Source organism: Homo sapiens, chromosome 7 (genome assembly GCF_000001405.40).
Source record: "Homo sapiens chromosome 7, GRCh38.p14 Primary Assembly".
Lineage (NCBI taxonomy): Eukaryota > Metazoa > Chordata > Mammalia > Primates > Hominidae > Homo > Homo sapiens.
The window spans coordinates 152886628-152895826 of NC_000007.14; the positions used below are offsets into that span (position 1 = coordinate 152886628).

The 9199-nt window shown below is 51.0% G+C and overlaps 3 annotated features.

Annotated features, from left to right (window-relative positions):
• Positions 7808-8375: an enhancer, noted in NCBI's record as "H3K4me1 hESC enhancer chr7:152591520-152592087 (GRCh37/hg19 assembly coordinates)". NCBI's record gives its function as "activates a minimal SCP1, AML or CMV promoter by ChIP-STARR-seq in naive H9 embryonic stem cells {active_cell/tissue: H9 hESC(naive)}" and the evidence as "EXISTENCE:reporter gene assay evidence [ECO:0000049][PMID:30033119]".
• Positions 7867-8026: a silencer, noted in NCBI's record as "silent region_18838". NCBI's record gives its function as "represses an Ori minimal core promoter by ATAC-STARR-seq in GM12878 lymphoblastoid cells {active_cell/tissue: GM12878}" and the evidence as "EXISTENCE:reporter gene assay evidence [ECO:0000049][PMID:35858748]".
• Positions 8376-8942: an enhancer, noted in NCBI's record as "H3K4me1 hESC enhancer chr7:152592088-152592654 (GRCh37/hg19 assembly coordinates)". NCBI's record gives its function as "activates a minimal SCP1, AML or CMV promoter by ChIP-STARR-seq in naive H9 embryonic stem cells {active_cell/tissue: H9 hESC(naive)}" and the evidence as "EXISTENCE:reporter gene assay evidence [ECO:0000049][PMID:30033119]".

Consider the following 9199-nt stretch of genomic DNA (forward strand, 5'->3'; position numbering starts at 1 on the left):
TCCCAGGCTCGAGTGATCTTACCTCAGCCTCCTGAGTGGCTGGGACCACATTCATGTGCCACCATGCCCAACACATTTTTTGATTTTTTATTTTTTGTAGAGATGGGGTCTTACTGTGTTGCCCAGGCTGTTCTTGAACTCCTTGGCTCAAGTGATCCTCCCGTCTTGGCCTCCTAAAATTCTAGGATTACAGGCATGAGCCACCATGCCTGGCTGTGAACATATTTTGTAGATATGATTAATGTTTACACTCAGTTGACTTTAAGTAAAGGAAATTACCCTCCCGTATATGGGTGGGCCTCACCCAATCAGCTGAAGGCCATAAGAGCCAAAACTGAGGGCTCCTGGGGAAGAAGGGATCCTGTCTGAAGATTAACATCGAAGTCCTGCCTGAGTTTCCAGCCTGCTGGGCTGCCCTACAGATTTTGGACTGGATGCTGAAACATCAGTCATCATCAGTTCTTTTTTTCAACATTTTTTTGAGACAGGGTCTTACACCACCATCCGGGCTGGAGTGCAGTGGCCTGATCTCAGCTCAAGTGATCCTCCTGCTTCAGCCTCCCGAGTAGCTAGGATTATATAGGTGCAAGCTATCACACCCAGCTAATTGTAAGTTTTTTGTAGAGACAAGGTCTTGTATGTTGACCTGGCTGGTCTCGAACTCCCGGCCTCAAGCAATCCTCCCACCTCAGCCTTGCAAAGTGCTGAGATTACGGGCATGAGCCACCGTGCCTGGCCCATCAGCTCTTACCTGAGTTTCCAGTCTGCTGTCCAGTCCTGCCAGCCCCCGCAATGCCGTGAGTCAATTCCTTAGCATCTCTCCCTCTCCATCTATGTCTAAATCTGTGTGTATATTTTTTTTTCTCTCTGTCTCCTATTGGTTCCATTTCTCAAGAGAACCCTGACTGGCACACTGCCCGCACCACCAACTGCTCTCTCGGGCCCAGGGTGGCGATGGGTTGTAGCCGCTGCCGATGCTCTTTCCTTCTGGTGCCAGATGCAGCTTCAGTATCATCTGCAAGTTGGGGGGACCGTGATGATTGGAGTCAGCACTTGAGAGGAAACGTGCTTGCTGTTCCAATTCTAGTGGATATTCTTCGTGGATGTTGACTAATAAAACAAATGGACATTCTCATGTTAGGTACCGTCTAATTAATTTTTCAACAAATATTTGTGGGCTTCTGATGCCCAAGTGCTGTGTTTAGTGTTACGGTGGATATCAGGAGGGATGAGACACAGAGCAGCAGAGATCTGGGCGGAGCATTTCTTTCCACACCCTCAGTGGGAGCTCCTGGAGGCCAGGGTGCGGTAAGCGGGCCGAGGCGGGGTGGAGTCCGACTAGTTTCCCACGACCTCGCCATCATGACAGCTTTCCAGGAACTGTAGAGAGAGAGAGGCAAGGACGGCACCCCTTGCAGGGAGGTCGGAAGCTGGGAGTGGACCTGCAGCCACCTGTGAACTCGATCCCAGAGCAGCCTGGGGTTCTTTGAAAGAGAGGGTGTGCCCGCCTGCCCTTTTTCAATTCTGGTGTTCACAGAGTGACCTCTAAAATCTCAATGTTCACTCTTTGAGAGATGGATCTACTAAAAGCCCAGATTCCACTACTATGCAATATAGACAAGCAAGAAGCTTGCACTCCTACCTCCTAAATATATAAAAATAAATAGCTAAAAAATAAAAGTCAAGTAGATATTACAGTGACAGTGGTTATGGGATGGATGAAAGAATCAATTTTTTTTTTTTTTTTGAGATGGAGTTTTGCTCTTGTTGTCCAGGCTGGAGTGCAGTGGCGTGATCTCAGCCCACCGCAGCCTTTGCCTCCCGGGTTCAAGTGATTCTCCTGCCTCAGCCTCCCGAGTAGCTGGGATTACAGGCATGCGCCACCATGCCTGGCTAGTTTTGTATTTTTTGTGGAGATGGGGTTTCTCCACGTTGGTCAGGCTGGCCTTGAACTCCCAACCTCAGGTGATCTGCGCACCTTGGCCTCCCAAAGAGCTGGGATTACAGGCATCAGCCACTGTGCTTGGTGAATCAAATTTTTAACCAGAAAGAGAGAGCAAAGGAAGGACTTTGAAATCAGTGTGTGTGTGTGTGTGTGTGTGTGTGTGTGTGTGTGTCAGTGTGTGCGTGCACACGGGTGGCACTGGTGGTTGTGGGGTAAGATTGATAGAACAGATGATGTCATTAATAAGTGTGGAGGAGCTTTTAAATTAACGGCAGCCCAAGGTTGGAGATTAATTTTTTAAATGTTTCTTAACCAGAAAAATGAAGCAAATGAATTCCGACAATTAGGAAGTAATGAAGACCTTTCGAGAATCGCTTATTAAAGACAGGAGATCAGGGAATTCCTAGTGCAGGTGAAGCCAGTGTCAATCAGCAGGCTCAGATGCCAGCGCCTTCGGGCACTGGGGGAATTGGCTTGCTCACTTTTGAACCCAAGTAGTCATCGTTGAAATATCTTGGAGAATGTGCCAAGAAAGGCAACGTAGGATCTGCAGCCCTTGCCACCGAGGGTGCCCCGCTGGGCCGGGGCCCTACTCTGTCCATCCAGCCCTCCATCCCGCCCCACCCCATGCTGCGTCAAAGGGCTGGCGGTCCTGCGTTGGGTCTGCATTGCTCTGATGCTCCTGGGACACGCCTGACCTTGTGACGGTGGCTGCTGACTGCTGGGAAGTATGAGCAGGGCCACTGCAGGCCTGGAAGGAAGTGAAGGACCGAGGGGCCTGGAAACAAAGGAGGACCTGGCACTGGAGAAGTGGACAATGGTCTTGGATGTCTGACACCTCATACGTCAGGAGCTTTTTTGATTGTTAGCTGCTAGCTTCTGCGTGATTTTTGTGTCTTTTAAATTTTTATTTTGTTTTTGTTTCCTTTACTTTTGGGGTCATATTCAAGAAATCATTGCCCAGACCAATGCCATGGAGTTTTTTTCACTGTTTTCTTCTAGTAGATGTCTAGTTTCAGGTCTCACATTGAAGTCTTTAATCCATTTTGAGTTGATTTTTGTAGATGGAGGGAGGTGAGTTTCATTATTCATCATGTGGCTCTCGTTTTCCCAACACCCTTTGTAGAAGAGCCTGTCCTTTCCCCCAGCGTGTGTTCCTGGTCTTGTCAAAGACCATCTGACTGTGACTGTGTGGATTTATTTCCGGGCTCTCTATTCTCTTCCATAGGCCTGGATGTCTGTTTTTGAGGCTTGGGCACTATGTTTTTTTTTTTTTTTTTTTGAGATGGAGTCTTGCTCTGTTGCCCAGGGTGGAGTGCAATCATGCGATGTTGGCTCACTGCAACCTCCGCCTCCTGGGTTCAAGTGATTCTCCTGCCTCAGCCTCCCGAGTAGCTGGCATTACAGGTGCCCACCACCATGCCTGGCTAATTTTTTAATTTTTAGTAGAGATGGGGTTTCGCCATGTTGGCCAGGCTGGTTTTGAACTCCTGACGTCAGATGATCCTCCCACCTCTGCCTCCCAAAGTGCTGGGATTACAGGCGTGAGCCACTGTGCCTGGCCTGGGCACCATCTTTTAAGATTAGCAGAGTGATTGTAAGGTGCTCCAGAGTTGACAACCACTGAGTTAGGGAAATTGCATTATGAAGGTTGTGTCTTCATGCATTATGAAGGTTGAGCTGCTGAATGCTGTAAACCGGGCAGATCTGGACCGTGGCATTTGGAAACCAGATCTCTTCCTGGCTTGCACAAGGCTGTCTTCTCATTATGTCCTCACATGGCCTTTCCTCGGTGGGTGCACTCAGGGCCTGGTGGGAGGGTGGGAGGGAGAAGGACCTCTTGTGTTTCTGTTTTTATAAGGACACTCATCTCTTCAGGGAGTCCCCACCCTTGTAACCTCATCTAACTCTGATCACCTCCCAAAGACCCCACCTCCAAATACCATCGTACTGGGGATGAGGGCTTGAAGATGTGAATTTTGAGGGAGACACAAGCATACAGACTGCAGCAGGTGGATTCTCAGCAGTTCATTACCCCTGCGACAGAAGTACAATTCCTCAAGACGGCAGAGACCAGGGCTTGCATCTCTGCATCCTTGCTGTGTGCCAGGCACCAAGCTGGCTGCTTCGTGGAGGTTTGGTCATATAATCTACAGATCCACCTGTGGACTTAGTATTCTTTTATTTTTTATTTTTTTTTTTGAGACGGAGTTTCACTCTGTCACCCAAGCTGGAGTGCAGTGGCATGATCTTGGCTTGCTATAAGCCCTGCCCTCTGGATTCAAGTGATTCTCCTGCGTCAGCCTCCCAAGTAGCTGGGATTACAGGCGCGCACCACCACGCCTGGCTAATTTTTGCAATTTAGTAGAGACGGGGTTTCACCATGTTGGCCAGGCTGGTCTTGAACTCCTGACCTCAGGTGATCCACCCGCCTCAGCCCCCCAAAGTGCTGGGATTACAGGCGTGAGCCACCTGGCCCAGCCTGGGCTTAATATTCTCATCGTCCTTTTATACATGAGGAAACAGGCTGACTCGCATATGACTGAGCAGCAAGCGAGTGCAGGAGGCAGGATTTAAATGGGTGGGGTCTGTGCGAACTCAGGGCCACAGCGTCCCCACTGGGCGTCCCCACAGCGCCCACACAGTGCTTTCCCACATGGCATCCCCACAGCGCCCCCAGAGCACATCCCCACAGCAGCCCCAGCGCGTCCCCACAGCGTGCCCACTGGGCGTCCCCACAGCATCCCCATCGGGTGTCCCCACAGCCCATCCCCACATTATCCCCACAGTGCCCCCACAGCCTGTCCCCACAGCGTCCTCACAGTGCATCCCCACGGTGTCCCTACGGGCGACCACACAGCGTACCCACAGCCTGTCCCCACAGCACATCCCCACAGTTTGTCCCACAGCGCCTCCACAGGGCGTCCCCACAGCGTGTCCCCACAGTGTCCCCATAGCACGTCCCCACAGCACACCCCCACAGCATCCCCACAGTGTCCCCACAGCACGTCCCCACAGCTTGCCTCCACAGTGCATCCCCACAGCATCCCCACAGCACGTCCCCACAGTGTCCCCACAGCATGTCCCCGTAGCACCCCCACAGTGCACTGAGGCATGCAAAGGCACCTCTGTGGGCTGAATGGTGCCTCCCAGATCCATGTGTTGCATCCTCATCCCCAGGACCTCAGAATGTGACTGCTTTTGGAAATAGGGTCTTTCAAGAGTAATGAAGGGTAATGAAGTTAAAGTGAGGTCATCAGGGTGGGCCCTAACCTGGTGGGACTGGTGTTCCTATGACCAGGGGAGATTGGGACACAGACATGCAGCACAGACGACCACATGAAGACACAGGGAGAAGACGGCCATCTACAAGCCAAGAAGAGAGGCCCCGGGGAGAAACCCACCCTGCCGACACCTTGATTTCTGACTTCCAGCCTCCAGAACTGCGAGGAAAGAAGCCGCTCTTGTTTCTGGCACCCTGTCTGTGGCTCTTTGTTACAACAGCACTAGCAAACGAGTACAGTGTTCATATTTAAAATCTTCACAAATGCCGATGCCTGTCGAACCAAAACAAAATAGTCTGTTTGCCACCACAGCCCGGACCTGTGAAGTTTCAAATGATAGAAGTCACTTAGTAAAAGCTGCCTGCAGACTTTCCCCCCTGGCTGGACCAGGAATCTTGGGGTGGAGGTTTTTGGATGTTGACCAAGCCAGCTTGGAAAAGGGGAATAACATGAGAACTCTGCTTAAACTTGGAAAGATTATCTTCCCCTGGATGCTGTCTTGCATTGTTTTTAAATAATAATAATGATACCGGCTGGTTTGAATGCTTACTGTGCTGGGTGTGGATCTACGTGCCTCACATGTATCAGTGACTCTACTTCTCACAAACTCTGTGGATGCCCTGTTTTTACAGATGCGGAAAGTGAGGCATAGAGAGATATAAAAATAGTTAAAGAAAGAAAGAAAGAAAGAAAAAGCTCGGCAAAACCAGCTCAACTAATGTGCCATATTTATATTATTCAATACATTGTCCAGGCAAAGATATAAGCTCCTCTCTGTGTAATGAGATGTTGTTCATAGTGGATTAAGGGATGGGCTTGCCAGGAAGCTGCCTAAGGCACTGATATACGTTGAGACCATATGTGAATAATCTGAAACACAGGGCCAGGTGCCTCTGGTCTCCCCATGTTTGTTTGTCCATGATGAACAAAGCAATAGCCTCACACATCTCAGAGACTACCTTTAAAATAATTCATCACCAGCAACTCCAAATAGGGAAAAATGATATATTACATTCAGGGTACTTAATGCATGTTTTATTTGGAATACAAAGAGTTGTTACATGTTTATGAATAGAAAAGTAATTTCTTCCTACCTGCACTGGTCAAATATGTAGACTGGCTCTGAAGGGGTGACTCGTTACTCTCTTGGGTACTCCTCCTGTTTCTCTCACTGTTTGCTACCCCTTTCCCACACTCCTGCCACATTCTAGTCCTCATGTAGAGCACCCTAAAGCCACTCCTGAGCCCAGAACACTGCCCGAGCCAGCCTGCAAATAGAACTGCAGATAAAAGGACGCCCAGCAGAAACTTAGATTTCTGATGAACAACACGTCATTTTTTAGCATAAGCGTGTCCCATATGATATTTATAGCACAAATATTGCATGGGACATACTTATACTAAGACATTATTCATTGTTTATCTGAAATTAAAAACGACGTGTGTGTCTTGTATTTTTCTTTGTTTAATCTGGCCACCATACTTGCAAAGGTAGACGACATTAATGGATTTAACCTAATTTTTTGGAGGAAAATGTGTGGCCGGGTGTGGTCGCTCACATCTGTAATCCTAGCACTTTGAGAGGGCGAGGCAGATGGATCACTTGAGTCCAGGTGTTTAAGACCAGGCTGGCAACCTAGAGAGACCACATTTCTACCAAAAAATACAAAAAATTAGCTGGGTATGGTGGTGTGCACCTGTAGTTCCAGCTACTGGGAAGGCTGAGGTGGGAGGATTGCTTGAGCCCAGGACATTGAGGCTACAGTGAGCCAAGATGGTACCATTGCACTCCAGCCTGGGTGACAGAGCCAAACCCTGTCTCAAAAAAAAAAAAAAAAAAAAAAAAAAAAGAAAAAGAAAATGTGTGTGTTGTGGAATTGTATGAATTACTGATTGGGTAGGTTAATCTTCAGTTTGCAGTTTAACGGTTTTATGAGTGATGATAAATATATGAACATGACTCCCCCTTACAGAACTCAACTCCTCCCTACATGGCCTCCCCGAGCGCCCTGCACCTCCCCGAGCGCCCTGCACTTCCCCAAGTGCCCTGGACCTCCCAGGGCACCCTGCACCTCCCAGGGCACCCTGCACCTCCCCGAGCACCCTGAACCTCCCTGAACGCCCCGCACCTCACCTAGCACCCTGGACCTCCCCGAGCGCCCTGCATCTCCCCGAGCACTCTGCACCTCACCGAGCACCCTGCACCTCACCGAGCATCCTGCATCTCACCTAGCGCCCTGCATCTCACCGAGCGCCCTGGATCTCACCGAGAGCTCAGGGTTCCTCTCCCTTGTCAGTGTGCCCACCCGGCCCGGTGCCCGCATCCTGCCCTCCTAACCCCCGCTCCGCCTTCCATGCGCTCTCCTCATTACTCGTTCACAGCTGTGCTTGTGAAACCTGCCGGAAGAGTCGGAGAGCGATGTGGATTCTGAATTGGGTGAACCTCAGCAGCTTTCTTAACCCGGTTTCCAGGCCTCCAAATGGAGGCTGTGACTTGAGGTCAAGGTTGGTGGCAGGCGCGGTGAGGGGACGCGGGGATGCTTGGCCCGGACCCCTCTGGGTGCCGGGTGCCTTCTGCTCTGTGCTCTGCCCCCCAAGGTTCTGGAGGGCGGGGGTTGCAGGCTGGGGCGCTCCCCCTTCGCCCCGGCCCTCGGTGGGCGCCTCTGACCTGGGCCGTAGTTTCCAGGCCCGCGCGTCCCCGAGGCGGACGCCAGAGGGCGCGCGCCCCCCACTCCTGCCCGCGTCGGGGCCGCAGCCGCGCTCCGCCCTTTGCCTGCAGAGCGCTGGGGGTTTAAAGTCCTGAACCCATGCACGGCTGTTCATTCTCAGAGGTCCCTTGGGTTGAAATCTGAAGGAATGGAGCAAAAGCGGCCTGCAGCAGCCCTTTTAAGTGATGTTAAAATCTTTTCATTACGTGCAGTAGCAATGAACCACGTGGGATTTGGCTGAGAGAGCGAAGGATTTTGTGATTTTGCCTTTGGAGTAAACGTGCCCATAAGCCCCTCTGCGCTCTTTGGAAACAAGAACCCAGACGCAGACCCTGGGCGCTGTACCCGTCTGTTGGCCGCGAATCCAGCAGCCCTCAGCTGTTAGGACCGTGCTGAGAAGTGGGTCCCCGAATGCCCTGGACCACGACTGTGGCGTCAGGCCGCTGCCCAGCTCCCTGCTGTGAGGCCAAGCCTCCCTCTCCCAGAGCCTGTGATCTCTCACAGTCTCCAGCGTCTCTCTCCTTGCACACCAGATCCACAAGTGCGAAGGAGGAGGAAGCAGCTGCCCACCAGTTACAGAAATAGCCACTGGGGCCGGGCGTGGTGGCTCAGGCCTGTAATCCCAGCACTTTGGGAGGCCGAGGCGGGAGGATTTAGGCTTTAGGCCAGGAGTTTGAGACCAAACTGGGCAACATAGTGAGACCCCGTCTCTACAAAAATACAAAAATTAGCCAGGCTTGGTGGCGCGTGCCTGTGGTCCCAGCTACTTGGGAGGCTGAGATGGGAGGATCGCTAGAGCCCGGGAAGTGGAGGTTGCAGTGAGCTGAGATGGCACCACTGCACTCCAGTCTGGGTGACAGAGCCAGACCCTGTCTCAAAAAATAAATAAAAAAAAAAAAGTCTACTGATGGTAAGGAAGAAGGCGAGCTCAGCACGGCCTTAGTAGTCACGGTGTGGCTGAAGGTGGGGCTGGAAGCCGAGCAGGACTCACTGTTTTGGAAGGCATGAAGGTGTGTGTGGGTCTCGGAAAGCTTTTACGTTCGTGGGTTAAAATAGGGCTGTGGTAAATGAACCAGTGGAGCTGATGCAGACATTTGCAGCTGCGATGCAGCTAATATCTTATTGACACAGGATGGCCTGGAAATGAAGAACTTGCTGTGCCAATTTGCAGCGATTGTCTCATGACGATTCTCTACGCTGCGCAGCATGTCAGGCTTTGAGTGTTTAAATGGAGGGTAATGATTTTAGAAACATTTCTCCAA